The sequence below is a fragment of the Homo sapiens genome, chromosome 12 (assembly GCF_000001405.40).
Source record: "Homo sapiens chromosome 12, GRCh38.p14 Primary Assembly".
Classification (NCBI taxonomy): Eukaryota; Metazoa; Chordata; class Mammalia; order Primates; family Hominidae; genus Homo; species Homo sapiens.
The window spans coordinates 111,515,621-111,531,644 of NC_000012.12; the positions used below are offsets into that span (position 1 = coordinate 111,515,621).

The following is a 16,024-nucleotide window of genomic DNA, read 5'->3' on the forward strand; positions in this document are numbered from 1 at the left end:
TACTCAGTTAAATTTAGAATTCTTCTGGCATTCTAAAAATCAACTACTTTAATCTAAGGGCAGACACGCAAAGTCAGCTACATGGGCTGTCGCTCTCAAAAAAGACCCAGAAAACACCATCCCTGCTTATGGCCAATAGGAAGGTTCACTAGGACCTTGGCCAAAGAGCTGTAAAATGAACCTAAGTTCAAGACTGGCTGAAGAAAGTTCATTTGTTTAACTACTGTATACAGTGCAAATAAGGAGGGGGAAGGCTGTGGGGCAGACCCTTCTGGGGCTGTAAAGAAGCATAATTATCAGGCAGAGATAAACCCCCTTTTTAACAACAATTCAAGAGAGTTTATAGCTTCACACATTTATCAAATTTCTCTCTAATGAACAAAAGGTTAATAGAAATAGTTTTAATAAACTAAAGTTAAAACACAGAAATTATAGGTTATTAAATAATGAAGAGGAAACTATTTTGTAATTATAAACTCACATAGGAGTTAAACAAAGACAAACAAAAACATGAACAAATTGTGGTATTGTACCTTCTGAAGACATGCGTTTAGGCATAGTAGAGACAGGAGCTGGAGAACCATGAGCAGAGGGGTGAGACGGGGGTCTGGATGGCCGCGAGGGGGGCCTGGAGGGCGGCCGTGTAGGGGTGGCTGCCCGAGGTGGAAGAGAGTTGGGACCTGACTGGTAGCGAGAAGGTGGGCGAGAGGAAGGAGATGGGCAAGGCGATGGCCAGGGAACACCTGACAGAACAAATGATATGAAGGAAAGTATAAAAACTAAAGAAAAAAATGAGGGAAAAAAGTAAACAGAAAAAAAGTAAAATGACAAAAATGATTTCTTGTACATTTTAACCCTTTGAGGACAGTCATTTGATTTGTGATAAGTTTTAGCATAACTTAACTGACATAAATTCACATTTTACTTTAACCTCCTTAAGATTAAGTCTGTTTAAATGAATACACGTTCCCAAAGGGTTAATTAGGATCTATACACACTATTGAAGAAGACAGTTAAGACTTTGCCTATTAATCCTGCTTCTATAACTGTTTCTCAGTAACTGGTTGTTTAAAGGAATATAACATACACTAGATAATTTCACATAATAAATCACAATAATTCCTACTCAGGAGTAAGATTATTTACTGTATTAGTTTTAACTCTGAGGCATAACGAAAATAAGCAGTAGCTATTATATCCAATTAGAAATGCTGGTTCCTTACAATTATCTATGATTTTCATCAGGTTTACACTTGAACCCAGAACTCAGTTTGGAATCTTATTAAGCAAGTCCCATTTAAGTAGAAATAAAACATTACTCTTCTAGAGTTTGTGACTCCTGTGAGTATCAAATGATAATATTCATTGCTATTTCAAAAAAAAAGTCTTGACCTCATTAAACTAGAAAAAGGGAGACCTTCTAAATAATTTATACAGTTAAACACTTATCTAAGCGACTGCTTAATAAATACTGCAACTACAAAGCAGTCATCACCAAATAAATTTATACTGATGGATATGCCTAGGTAAAGATACAGCTAGTATTTAACATTACATATCACTTACCTTAATCTTATCAAACAGTCCAGGTCTCCTCTCCATAGGGTTCCACACACTTAAGTATCATATATTTCTCAGCCCCCTTCAGGTTTTTTAACTTTAAAATTCTGTTTATAAACAACTAAAATCTTTCCTCAGTGAGCAAAGAAATTTCACCCCCAATATTAAGTACTGAAAATACTCAAGAGTGTCCATTTGGAGAGGAATTCTGGAGAAAAGACTCAATGAAAACAAATGAAATTGGAAACTTAGTGTTCTCTATTTTCATCTAACTTTCCAAATTTAAATAGCTAAAATTGAATGTCCACTCTTTTCCCACAAAGTTAGTAACATACTATTGCTATTACTATTTCCATACCATCCATAGAACTGTTGTTCAGTATCCCTGATTTATGGAAAAGATCCACAACCTACAAGATATATTCAACCTAGATTTAGAGGTAGAGTAAAAAATGTCTTCCTACTAAAGATTCAGGTTTCTTTTACTTAAGTTGCTAAACTGTAACATCCACCCTTAGACTAAGGGTTGTTTTTGTTGTTTTTTAAGCAAATTTCTCTAGTCACTTTCTTCACATGACTCTTGATCATGTCTTGTATTATAAGTTACCTCAGATCCTTTCTTGAAGTAAGCATAATATAGAAACAAATAATGAAAATTGATCTATATTAACCACAGTGTTGCACATAGGTTAGAATTTTCCATATAAATTATGTCTAAAAAATTTTATTATCCAGTGTTTTTAAAATTGAGAACCTACCCAAAGTTTCCAATTTCTTTATATGTGAAGTGTTTTTGGCCAAGTGATTGTCTTGGGTTAAATGTAGCACTTTATCTTAGTACATCATGAATATTTCATCATGCTAAATAATATATATGTCAATGACATATACAATGTTTTACTAATTTAATATCCACAAAAGCCAATTTTAAGTAATGCTGAAGTGAAAGCTACTCACCAAATCATTAAAGTGCACATTCATATCAGTTATGTAAACTATTTTAAGTATTTTAAGTATTTAGAAAACTATTTTATCAATGATATTGACAAGTCTGGTCAAAATACTTGCCTCCATTAACTACTCTTTGGTCTGAACCAGAATTCGGGTTGAAATCTGAAGTGTGAGAAGTGGATCTTGATGGCATGGAGCCCGATCCAGGCTGGCCCATACGCGGTGAATTCTGTCTCCCACTTCCCCAGGATATGACTTCTCTATTTCTTTGTCCAGGAGGAATATATTTATTTTCCCTGAAAATGAGAGATCCTCTAAATCATTTTATTCTAAAAGGTACCAAGCCAATGAAACATATCTAAAAGTCATCTAGACAGAAGGGAATGCTTGTTACAAAAAGGTTCTACACTAAACCAAACTGCCTCACTCCCAGATGCCCCTGTTCTTCCATCTTACCCTGAGTTCTAACCTCTGGACTGTCCCTTCCCTTAGATTCTGCTCCTAAGCACAAAGTTTAACAGATGCGTGCTCATTCTCATCCCACTTGACCTCTCTATGGCTGATTCCATCAATCTTGGTCTATCTTCACAACATTTTTTGTCCTTCACTTTCTCAATTTTATTTTCTCTGAGATCTCTTCTCTCACTGGCTGTTCTTTGGTTTTTCATGGCTCCAATATCGGCAATGCTGATGAAACCTCAAACTGAACCGCCAGTCTCACAGTGTCAACATCTATCAGTGGACATGTCAATTCAAATCACCAGACTCTAAGCTGACTGCCTTTAAGAGAGGATGCATCTCTTACTTTACTAGATAGGTAGCAGGTATTTCTCAACACGTTTATGAATAAATGAAAGACCCACAAGCCCACATATGCAATTAGCTGCACAAACGGAGTCACTGTTTTTCCCCTCAAACTTGCTCCATGTTTCCTCTCTCTCTTACCAGTACATCCATTAAGTCACTTAGTTATCAAATAAACCTCAGGCTCATCCCTTAACTAGGTGGTTACCAAATTCTCACAGTTGAACTATTTCAGTGCACTAACTGTTCTCTGTGTCTCAGCCAGTCCTCAATGCCCCAGGGTTTATTCACCCCATCTCCTTCCAACAGGGTGCTCTTTAGCATGACATGCCAAGTCCTTTAATGACCTCAGTTCCTACTATCAACTGCCACTGCTGCACCTGACACAGATCCTGTGTTCCAGACACATGCAACAACCAGCCCTCTCCTGAGCTGGCCAAATTTTCTCATAGCCATGCTTGTACATGGCTTTTCATCAGGTGATAAACTCTTCTCCCAACTCTTCTCTAAGTGTCAAAGACCCTATTATCTTATCACAAAATGTCACCTCCTCAATGAGGTTTTCTCTGACTCTACAGGTTATGCTAGCTCCTCCTCATTCTGTATGTTCCTAGTACTTTGAACATGCCTTTAACCAAGCAAATCATATTGTACTGCTGTGATTGTTACACGTGTCCCCCACCAGATAACTATTTTAACAAGCTCTTCAAGATCTTGGATTGCTCACCGTGATATACCAACACTTGGCTCCACAGAGCTTACTCTCAAAAGCATATTTTCCAAGATCACCATAACCTTTTCTCTAACAGATCTTAAACCAATTCTACTTGCATTCTCTACCTAAGCTATATTAAAGGAAGAGGAAATATAATAACAATACACCGTCTCACACAGACCTTGAGTTGTGTATCCAAAATACTGCATCATGATTTCCTTTAAATACCTAGTGTTTATGCTGTGCCCCTCACGTTCACTGGAATTTCTCTGAACTGCTGTGTATTTTTCTTCCTCACTCCTATCATCATTTTCCAGGGCCACTCGAGCTTTGTACTGGGCACTTGACTCAATTTCTTCTGCTAACTGGTTTGCCCTTGCTTCCCGTTTTAAAAATTCTTCTGAGTTATCTCTTTCTAAGGGCACTCTGAAACATGAGGAAAAGAAAAGCAAAATGAGTCCTTTAAAGCCACAGTTTATGTATCTGTCATAATCAACTACTAAGAAAGTTTAGAGTTTAGAATACTGGTAAAAACAGAAACTAAAACTAAAACTAAAACTAAAAGTTATAGTGATCTGTGTATTTATAAATCAAAATTCTAACTTTTTTTTCTGTTACCTTTTCTCCAGAGGAACATATTTCAAAAACTGGTTAAACTGTTCACCATAATCTCTGCCCTTGCAAATTTAGATATTTTTTAACAACTTAGAAGACAAAACCGGCCAGGCACAGTGGCTCACACCTGTAATCCCAGCACTTTGGGAGGCCGAGGCAGGTGGATCACGAGGTGAAGAGATCGAGACTATCCTGGCCAACATGGTGAAACCCCGTCTCTACTAAAAATACAGAAATTAGATGGGCATGGTAGCACGCGCCTATAGTCCCAGCTACTCGGGAGGCTGAGGCAGGAGAATCGCTTGAACCCGGGATGCAGAGGTTGCAGTGAGCCGAGATTGCACCACTGCACTCCAGCCTGGAGACACAGCGAGATTCCCTCTCAAAAGAAAAAAAAAGACAAAACCAAAATTTGTTTAGAGCATAAAAACAGGGTATAGGCAAACTACATTTATTCCCTTTTTTTAATGGAAATTTATCACAGTTGGTAATAAGAGAAAAATTATTTCATGTAATTGTTTAACTTAAAAACTAACAAACATTTATTCATCATAAATTAAGCTGATGAAAATCAAAGACAAATGCACTAAAATAAAAACAAACTTTTCAAACTTACGTATACGAAGATAAACTGCTATCATACGTAGACACTACACCATAATTTTCTTCATTATATCGAAACATATCATTGGGATCCCATCCATTAGACTAGAAGAAAATGAAGCTTGTTTTTCAAAATGTCAAAGTAGTTGTTCCCTTTCATTCAGTTATAACCAACATCTATATTAACAATATCTAACAAACTACTTGAGCAAAATTAGCAAATTAGAAAATAGGAAAAAATTTCCTTAAAAATGTTTTAGAAAAATACTTATCAGCCCCTCCAGTTGATAAGTAACTATACAACACAATTATTTGAGCAGTTATTTTTAAAGTTTAGAACATTTTAATTACTTCATAAAATAGCCTTCAGATCAGGGTTCTCTCTTTTCTCTAACCTGTAAAAGCCACCTTTCAGTTAGAGACATCTACATTTACCTGTAACCTTCTTGAGATCACACTGGTCCTCAGGTCTGTGGAGGACAGGAGGTACATATTTTACTTCTTTTAAACAAGGGATTCCACATGGAACAAGGGGTGCTTTTTAACAGCCAAAAATACTTCCAATGTTTGGGAGAAAGAAGGGAGAAGCCAACGCTTTCCCTCATATTCAACGATTCCAAGGTCGGACTATGGTACTAGGTCCCTGGCAACCTCCCCTTCCTCCTGGGAATGCTCAAATGGGAAGGCAGCATGAAACGGTGAACAGGCAATCACTGGACAAAGTCACAAGAACTGGGCTTTAGAAATGGTTTTACCATTAGCAGTTGTGACACCTCAGAAGTGGCAACTCTGGATCTCAATACCCTAACCTATAACCTCAGCATAGGTAACTCCACAATTCTACGAGGAAACTATAGGAAATTACCATTCGCAAAAGGGAGGCTGCCTTCTTTTTTTGGTGGGGGGGAGCCAGGGGCAAGCAAGTTTATTAAGAAAGTAAATAAAAGAATCCTACTCCATAGGCAGAGCAGCTGAGGCTGCATTCTTTAACGTAAAAGAATCAACCAATTGGGCCACAGGCTGGAAGACTATTTACCAGTGAATATTACTGCCTGGATAATTATTCTCTAATGTTTCAACTCCTTTTTTAAAGCCTTACTGGTGAAAAGTATAAAGTCCAGTAAAGGTTGTAATCCATCCCAGAAGAATGAACACATCAACCAAGCAATGCTGATGGCAACCTCAATGCTAAGGCTTGCCTCGAAGTTCACCTATTAACCTTGGGTCCTCCTGTGCTACTCCAGGTAAGACTATAATGTAAGTCTACCACCAATGCAATTCCTTTTGCCAAACACATGGGCAGGAAATCACACTTACTTATGGAGGCTTTAAAATTACTTAAGTAATGTATGCCCTACATAAAAAAAAAAAAAAAAAAGCACACAATACGGAAAGACATCCAGTAAAAAGTAAATGTCTTCCAATCCCAGCGTGCATAAATAACTACTATTAAGAGTTCTGGCCGGGCACGGTGGCTCATGCCTGGTATCCCAGCACTTTGGGAGGCCGAGGCAGGAGGATCACGAAGTCAGGAGATTGAGACCATGCTGGCTAACATGGTGAAACCCTGTCTCTACTAAAAATACAAAAAATTAGCCAGGTGTGGTGGCGGGAGCCTGTAGTCCCAGCTACTTGGGAGGCTAGGGCAGGAGAATGGTGTGAACCCGGGAGGCAGAGCTTGCAGTGAGCTGAGATCACACCACTGCACTCAAGTCTGGGCGACAGAGCGAGACTCCATCTTAAAAGAAAAAAAAAGAGTTTCAGCCGGGCGCAGTGGCTCATGCCTGTAATCCCAGCACTTTGAGAGGCCAAGGTGGGTGGATCACCTGAGATTAGGAGTTCGGGACCAGCCTGGCCAACATGTTGAAACCCTGTCTCTACTAAAAATACAAAAAATTAGCCAGATGTGGTGGCGGGCGCTTGTAGTCCCAGCTACTCAGAAGGCTGAAGCAGGAGAATCGCTTGAACCTGGAAGGCAGAGGTTTCAGTGAGCCAAGATCACGCCATTGCACTCCAGCCTGGACAACAGAGCAAGACTCCGTCTCAAAAAGAGTTTCTTGGGTGTAATTTCAGACATCTTCTAGGCAATAAGAATATGAACAGCTCTTTAAAAAAAAAAAAAAATTTCATGGCCAGGTGCGGTGGCTCATGCCAGTAATCGCAGCACTTTGGGAGGCTGAGGCAGGTGGATCACGAGTTCAGGAGTTCAAGACCAGCCTGACAAACATGGTGAAACCCCTTCTCTACTAAAAACACAAAAATTAGCTGGGCATGGTGGCAGCTACTCAGGAGGCTGAGGCAGGAGAATCGCTTGAACCCGGGAGGCGGAGGTTGCAGTGTGACAGAGCAAGACTCTGTCTCAAAAAAAGAAAAAAAAAAGCAAATAGGATCCCAGTGTTCTGCAATGTGCTTTTTCTCTTAATAAATCTTAGATATCTTTCCATATTGGAACACCATTCTTTTTGGGAGATATGTAGTGTTTCAATTGAATGGTGACATCATAAATCTAACTCATGCTATATTGATAGACACTTAGCATGTTTCCAATTTTTCACTATTAGAAATAATGCTATGGCCAGGCATGGTGGTTCACGCCTATAATCTCAGCACTTTGGGAGGCCGAGGTGGGCAGATCACCTGAGGTCAGGAGTTCAAGACCAGCCTGGCCAACATATGGTGAAACCCCGTCTCTACTAAAAATACAAAAATTAGCTGGGTGTGGTGGCGCACGCCTATAGTCCCAGCTGCTTGGAAAGCTGAGGCAGTAGAATCACTTGAACCCAGGAGGTGGAGGTTACAGGGAGCCGAGATCGCACCACTGCACTCCAGTCTGGGTGACAGAGTGAGACTCCATCTCTCAAAACAACAGCAACAACAACAAAAGAAATAATGCTGAAAAAAAAAAAAATCCTGGTCAGGCATGATGGCTCACACCTGTAATCCCAGCACTTTGGGAGGCTGAGGTGGGTGGATTACCTGAGCTCAGGAGTTCCAGATCACCCTGGGCAACATGGTAAAACCCTGTCTCTGCAGAAAAAGAAAAAAAAAAAATCTTCACATATAATTATTTGCATGTCTTATGGATATATGAGGGCAAAAATAAATTACTAGAGATAGAACTGCTGGAACAAAGTGTATGTGCATTTTAAATTTTGATTAGCATTGCCAGATTCTCTCCAGAAAGACTCTATCAATTTATCCACCTCACCAATAGTGTAAAAGAAGTCTCTGTTTCCTCATATTTTTCATACAGGTGACGTGATGTACAGACTTGAGAACCATTATATTAGGTTATATATGATTTGTTAAAGTTTGAGAATTAATGACATGTTGCCTGTGTATGTCCAGTTTTATTACTAGACTTTAGGTCAAAGTAGGACATTTCAGGCTTCCTGTCTGAGGAAGAGTGTCATTATTAAGCTGTTATGCCTTAAACATCAAACACAGATATGTTACAAATTCTCTTTCTACTCAATGGAAGATTCTTCATTCTACTCAAATATTGGTACCATAACACTCATTTTTGGCAAGACACTTTGCTTTATATCTCTATGCTCTCTATCCTAAAGACAGAGTCTTTATTAAGTATTTGTTTTTATTTTTATTTCTTAGAGAAGGGGTCTCCTTATGTCATTCAGGCTGGACTCCAACTCCTGGGCTCAAGTGATCCTCCTGCTTCAGCCTCCCAAGTAGCTGGGACTGCAGGCATGTGCCAGCATACCCAGCTAAGCACTTCAAGTACAGATAATGCATTAAAGAGAGAAACAAAACTAGTATGTGACAAGAGGCGTTTTAGAAATAAAAGAATTTTGTGGAGAATAATCCAAATTTAAGACCAAGAAATTTATGTAATGCTTTAATTCCAATGTAACCTAATTATTTATCTTAATGACAACCTTTTCTTCAGACAAGAGGCTTAAAATGTCCTACTTCAACCTCTTCTCTAGGTGAAGTCAACAATTAAGACACCACTTTCCTTAGGCTACCTTATTTGGCTGGGTGTTAAAGCAAAACACACCGGCATTTCCCATGGTTTCTAATTTTAATTTAAGCTACTTCTTATTATTTATTTTAATCACAAAGAAGTAATTCATGAGCATCCACAAGAACAGACAGTACTCCTGCTTAACCCCTACAAGTAAAATGACAAACATTTTTCTTTATATATTGCTTGGGAGAAAGTCTCTAGTTATACAACAAACCTGCTGCTCTAAATACACTCACTACAATAACAACAACAACAAAAGCACATTTAAATTACAACCAAGTGACAGGATGTCATACTGACCAGAGTCTAGCAATAATTACAAAGATGTTACTTACTACGTCATTTTCCAAAGCCTCAAGTTCCTCATTGGCTGTGAGTTCACCTGCATCCCAGGGCTCCAGGTCCTTCTCTTTGTGTTCGCCATTCACTTTAGCACTGATAGCAGAGTCAGTAAAAGCATCTGCAAAGAATGGTTTTGGTTGAAAGTTTATATAATCTGGCAATCAGTTACACTCACACACGTGAATTACCAACAAAGACATATGTTAAAAAACAATTACGAAAAATGAATTTCACATAATTGTTTAACTTAAAATCTAACAGAAACATTTATTGAACATAATTTAGGTTGATGAAAACAAAAGACCAATGCACTATAATAAAGGTAAACTTAAAACTTATGTATGTGAAGATAAACTGCTATCTAAACTGATACGGAATATATAGTATTCAGTAAAAGTATGCTTTCACGTTTAATTTAGCAAATGGAATCACAGATGACTATCAGTAAAGGTATTTTCTTTTCATATAATTTTAAGCCACACGAAGCATTTTTTTTTTTTTTTTGAGATAGAGTCTCGTTCTGTTGCCCAGGCTGGAATGCAGTGGCGTGATCTCGGCTCACTGCAACCTCTGCCTCCCGGGTTCAAGCGATTCTCCTGCCTCAGTCTCCCGAGTAGCTGGGACTACAGGTGTGTACCACCACGCCCGGATAATTTTTTGTATTTTTAGTAGACGGGGTTTCACCGTGTTAGCCAGGCTGGTCTTGATCTCCTGACCTAGTGATACCCCCACCTTGGCCTCCCAAAGTGCTGGGATTACAGGCATGAGCCACCATGCCCAGCCCACATGAAGCATATTTTAATATATTGACATAATTCATTAAATTATATTACAGGTAATTACTCTGCATGTCTCAGAAGTGACCAAGAAAATTTCTGGCCAGATGTGGTGGCTCATGCCTGTAATACCAGCACTTTGGGAGGCCCAGGCAGGTGGATCATGAGGTTAAGAGATCGAGACCATCCTGGCCAACATGGTGAAACCCTCTCTCTACTAAAAATACAAAAATTAGTTGGGCATGGTGGCACATGCCTGTAGTCCCAGCTACTCGGGAGGCTGAGGAAGGAGAATCGTTTGAACCCGGGAGGTGGAGGTTGCAATGAATGGAGATCACGCCACTGTGCTCCAGCCTGGCGACAGAGTGAGACCCTGTCTCAAAAAAAAAAAGAAAAAGAAAATTTCTATCAATCCATCAAAAATATCTCTTTTTTTTTTTTTCTTTTTTGAGATGGAGCTTGCTCTTTCACCCAGACCGGAGTGCAGTGACACCATCTCGGCTCCCTGCAACATCCACCTTCCAGGTTCAAGGGAATCTCCTGCCTCAGCCTCCCAAGTAGCTAAGATTACAGGCGCCCACCAACACGCCCAGCTAATGTTTGTATTTTTAGCAGAGACAGGGTTTCACCATGTTGGCCAGGCTGGTCTCGAACTCCTGACCTCAGGTGATCCACCCACCTTGGCCTCCCAAAGTGCTGGGATTACAGGTGTGAGCAACCATGCCCGGCCTAAAATATCTCTTTTGTTTAATGGATGCACTAATTAGATATACCTTCGGAGTACTTGCAGCCAAATATATGTGGATTTTGTTTTTAACTTTCCATATTCATGTCTATGTACAGTGGTCAATATCCCAGCAAACTCTTGCCATTAGTAAATGAAGCCATTCTAAGTGGTTTAACCCCTCCCAGAACCCACTTCTTCATATATAACCACTCTGCTACAAAGTTCAGGCCCTACAGTATTACCTGTCTCAGAAAGTTCAGGTAGCAGGCATACCTGGACTTCCTATTAACACACTCTCACTTTGTGTCCTCTTCTCTTCTACTAATGTTATTGAAGAGTACTGACTTATGAAAGCAAATGTAGCATCCACATGTTAGCTGACCATACTGCTGTCTGGCACAGGAAATTTTCTCTAGTTGGGAGTTAGACTCAGCTAAATAAAGGCCCACTGGGCAATGATGGCACTAGGAAACGCTCTGTAGATACAGGCTTGCATTTAAATGACTGGACCCATAGGGTACCACCTACTACGAACTAAGGAGTAATACTTCTGCTGATCTGGCTCTGCTGAGGAATATAAGCTCCCAGCCACTGTTCCTTCCCAGTACTGTAAGTTGCCACTAAGAGGAGGAAGGGACGAATCAACAACTAAACACACAATACTCCTACAAAAGAGGTTATTCCAGATGGATTTTTTATTTGGCAATGCTTCTATAACTGTCATTGTCTCCCTAATGGGCAAAGTGATGCCAAAATAAGAAATCTGAGCCAGCAAATTTAAGCATGGAACTTCAAGCCTAGCTAATTCTAACCTCTTCTTATCCCAAACTAGGTGTGGGTAGGTATGAGTGTGTGTACCTGTACATCAGGGAATAAAAGCATTAATCCACCTCTGGGCTTAGCTGCCAGCTCCACCAGCAGCACTACTCCCATTGCTAGCAATTCTAAGAGCCAAGAGTGTGCTGAGGGAGTTCCCCAGAGCAGCAGGACTCAGCTGGGGGTGGAATGGAGCATTCACTAGAAATGGCTGAATTTTGGAAAATCTCTCTAAGAGATTCTAAGAGACTAATGCTATCTTACCAACACCTCATCTTTGCTGAAAGCTACTGATGGCACTAGAAATCTGACCTTATTTGATACTAACCTGAATCACGTTCTTCTCTACATTATCTTAAAGTTATGTGGATTGCTGGCAAAAATTAATTTAGCCATGTGTATTTTCAAGAATGTAAAATGTTCCAAGAAAACATCAAATAATAACCTACCTTAAGATCCTGAAATCCCTTTAATTCTCACAACACTAGACAAAAAACTACACTATAGGAAAATTCCAAACGAGTCATATTATCTTCTGGAAGAAGCAACAGGACTGTTCCTTTACGTCTAAGATCCTGTTAATGTCTTAATCATACTAGTTTTTGAAAAGCACACATTTAAGTAAATAAAGCATTTATTTAGATAGAAGCTCAGTATTAAAAACAATACTCTTTTGATTCAAGAAATTAAAGCTCGAAGCAGCTAGAGATTTTTATAGAACCATATAAACGGATTTTTTTCTCACTACAGGGTATGTGTGTGTGTGTGAAAATATTTAGAAAGTCTTGAGTCAAGCCGTCTTCAAACCAAAAGATCCCAAATGTACACACAAAGTAGCTTAAATATGTTTTTACAGTATTATTCTAAACAAATTTCTAAAAGGATCCCCAAGTAAGAGCCAGTGTGGAAAAGCAAGCAAGCGTCTAAAACTTTAGGACCCAGGCTTTATTCCACTGACCAGAATTTAGGTTGTGTTAAGAGGGCATTATTAATAAATCTATTTTTCTCAATGCTACATTTTAATCTTAAATCTTCTGTTTACAATACCAAACTTTTTTTAAAAAAAAGTATTCACAGGTTATGTAGCAGTCTGTCGCTTTCGAGACAGAAATGGGGAAGGGGAAAACACAGAAGTGTGATTCTATAAAGAATGATATTCCTTGGTTTTAAAATTTCACCAAAAGTAGCTCTTTCTAAAGATGAGTAAAGGACTTAGGGGAAGATGTGCAGAAGTGGAGAGTTAGCACGAAATGAGGCTATATCATCAGGATGCTGAGAAAATCCCTGGCTATAAGTAATGCATTTCAGGCCAACATTGCATCATTAGCTAGAAAGGAAGCAAGATCTGGGTATCCATTCTGCACTATTAATAATATCCACTATCGTAAATTCTGATTTGTTTTACAGTGGTTACAAGTTTGGATTTTTGTTTCTGTTTCTTTAAAAAAAATTTGTTTTTGTTTTTGTTTTTTCAGAGATGGGGTCTTTGTCACTCATGCTGGAGTGTAGTGCCGCAATCACTGCAGCCCTGGGCTCAAGCAATCCTCCCACCTCAGCCTCCCAAGTCGCTGAGATTACAGGCATGAGCCACTATGCCCAGCAAGTCTGGATTTTAAAAAAAAAAAACACTGTTGGTAGTAAATAGTACAATGTTGTAACCAGGATTCCTGCAAAGTTGAGAAAAAAACAACTGGCTCTAATCTACAGGCAACTGTGGGAATTTGCATGCAGATTTTACCAATGCCATAAGTCAAAGAATATTAATTTTCCATCATCCCCTATGGTGAGAAACAAAAGCATTGTAACAACAAGATGCAAGAATACAACGTGACTATTAGAAAAGTGTTACCTGTTTCTGAAGGAACTACAGGTATAGAGAGAAAAAAGGAAAAACATAAAAACCATCAGATGAGATGATAAAGAATTAGTTTTTCAATTTATAAAAGCCTCTAGACTAGCAGGCGATGTTGGAGGAAGAAACAAAATTGTATCACCTCCAGCCCCTGTATCCCACCTCCATGCTACCCCCACAGCAGTGGGCTCTCAACACCTTCTCTTCTGATTCTGGGCAGAAACTTAGTCATTTTGGGCCGGTGATGCCACCTGCTGGTGGTCATAAAGAAATGTCTCGACCAACGTGTGAACCTCTTCTGGGTATCCCCAGCCCCATACCCAGGAAACAGAGTACATATTCAGCTTCTCAATCTTTCCTCTTTTACCTCTGAGCCAATAATGCCTCTGAAAAATCATTCAAACTTGTCTGAGCATTTTTTAAAGGGCCAGAATAATGGTCAAATAACTAAAATGGTAGTGTTAAACATTAGAAATAAATATACTTAAATGTATAAAAACTATAAAATGACATAAAACTGGATGAAATAATCATTAACATCAGATTTAACATCACAAACCCTCAAATGTGCTTCCAGAGAAGTCATCAAAATCCTCAGCTAACCATTTCTTCTCAACTAAATCAGCCTTTTCTCAAACATCAAAGTTCCATATAAACCTAAAAAATCATATTGTTTTGATCAATTCCTATTCCTGCGGCACTTTCAACAACTTTTTAAGACAGTTTCTCATTATGTGTCATCGTTATATGTGGACCAATCTATATACTATATAAAGTATCAGTATATAGATTGGTATCAGTGGGACTATTTAGTCATTTTTAGCACTTACTGAGTACCTACAATGCACTCATAAGTCTGGACGAGGTGGGGATTCACATTTGACTGATACAATTCCCAGCATTTCCTGTAGGAACTAGGAGCTCCTGGGTGTAAGAGACTAGTTACAGAAATGAAGCAAATCTTTTAGAATCGAATACAATGAGTGCTACAATACAATTAAAAACAAAGTTCTAAGGAACAAAAGGCTCTGGGCTTTCTAAAGTGACAGTGACAGCCTATCAGCAACAGCTGATCTAGGCCTTCAAGAACACAAGAAGAAAATAAGAAAGGGGAAGTAAAATGGTTCCAACATAGACTGGAGTGGCATTAAAAATACGTGTATAGCTGGGAGCGGTGGCTCACGCCTGTAATCTCAGCATTTTGGGAGGCCCAGTCAGGCAGATCACGAGGTCAGGAGATCAAGACCATCCTGGTTAACACGGTGAAACCCCATCTCTACTAAAAATACAAAAAGTTAGATGGGCGTAGTGGCCGGCGCCTGTAATCCCAGCTACTCGGGAGGCTGAGGCAGGAGAATGGTGTGAACCAGGGAGGCAGAGCTTGCAGTGAGCAGAGATCGCGCCACTGCACTCCAGCCTGGACAACAGAGCGAGACTCCATCTCAAAAAAACAAAAAACAAAAAAATGTGTATAGGCGGGGTGCAGTGGCTGACGCCTGTAATCCCATCACTTTGGGAGGCCGAGGCGGGCGGATCACCTGAGGTCCGGAGTTCGAGACCAGCCTGACCAACATGGAGAAACCCCCATCTCTACTAAATATAGCTGTGCATGGTGGTGCATGCCTGTAATCCCAGCTGCTCGGGAGGCTGAAGCAGGAGAATCACTTGAACCTGGGAGGCAGAGGCTGCGGTGAGCCGAGATCGCACCATTGCACTCCAGCCTGGGTAACAAGAGCGAAACTCTGTTTAAAATTAAATCAACAGGCTGGGCACAGTGGCTCACATCTGTAATCCCAGCACTTTGGGAGGCTGAGGCGGGTGGATCATGAGGTCAAGAGATCGAGACCATCCTGGCCAACATGGTGAAACCCTGTCTCTACTAAAAATACAAAAATTAGGTAGGCGTGGTGGTACACGCCTATAGTCCCAGCTACTCGGGAGGCTGAGGCAGGCGAATTGCTTGAACCTTGAATTGCTTGAACTACTAGGGAGGCGGAGGTTGTAGTGAGCCAAGATTGCGCCACTGCACTCCAACCTGGCGAGAGCGAGACTCCGTCTCAAAAAATAAATAAATAAAAAATATGTGTATAAACATTTTCTGAATTGTACACAAGAACACAGGCTTCCCCAGGGAAGTGGGACTGGGGGTTAGAGAGGAGATTATCTTTTCATTGAATACTCATCTGTTCTAACTGAATTGTATACTACGAGCATATACTACTACACCATGTATTATACAGATTATATTAAAGACTATAATACTGAAGAATAACAC

The 16,024-nt window shown here is 39.7% G+C and overlaps 1 protein-coding gene across 5 annotated transcripts in view; it reads right to left on the bottom strand.

Moving 5' to 3' along the window:
* ATXN2 (ataxin 2) overlaps positions 1-16,024 on the bottom strand; it is a 147,460-nt gene that overhangs the window by 63,407 nt on the left and 68,029 nt on the right. For all 5 annotated transcript variants that reach the window (NR_132311.2, NM_001310123.1, NM_001310121.1 and 2 more), the window contains 5 exons: positions 9,572-9,696; positions 5,262-5,353; positions 4,259-4,456; positions 2,629-2,807; positions 534-743 (listed from right to left, as the gene is read on the bottom strand). Coding sequence is in view for 4 of the 5 variants with exons in the window: in NM_001310123.1 (NP_001297052.1) it covers positions 534-743; positions 2,629-2,807; positions 4,259-4,456; positions 5,262-5,353; positions 9,572-9,696 (804 nt within the window). In the remaining variant the exon portion in view is untranslated. The remainder of the gene's footprint in view (positions 1-533; positions 744-2,628; positions 2,808-4,258; positions 4,457-5,261; positions 5,354-9,571; positions 9,697-16,024) is intronic.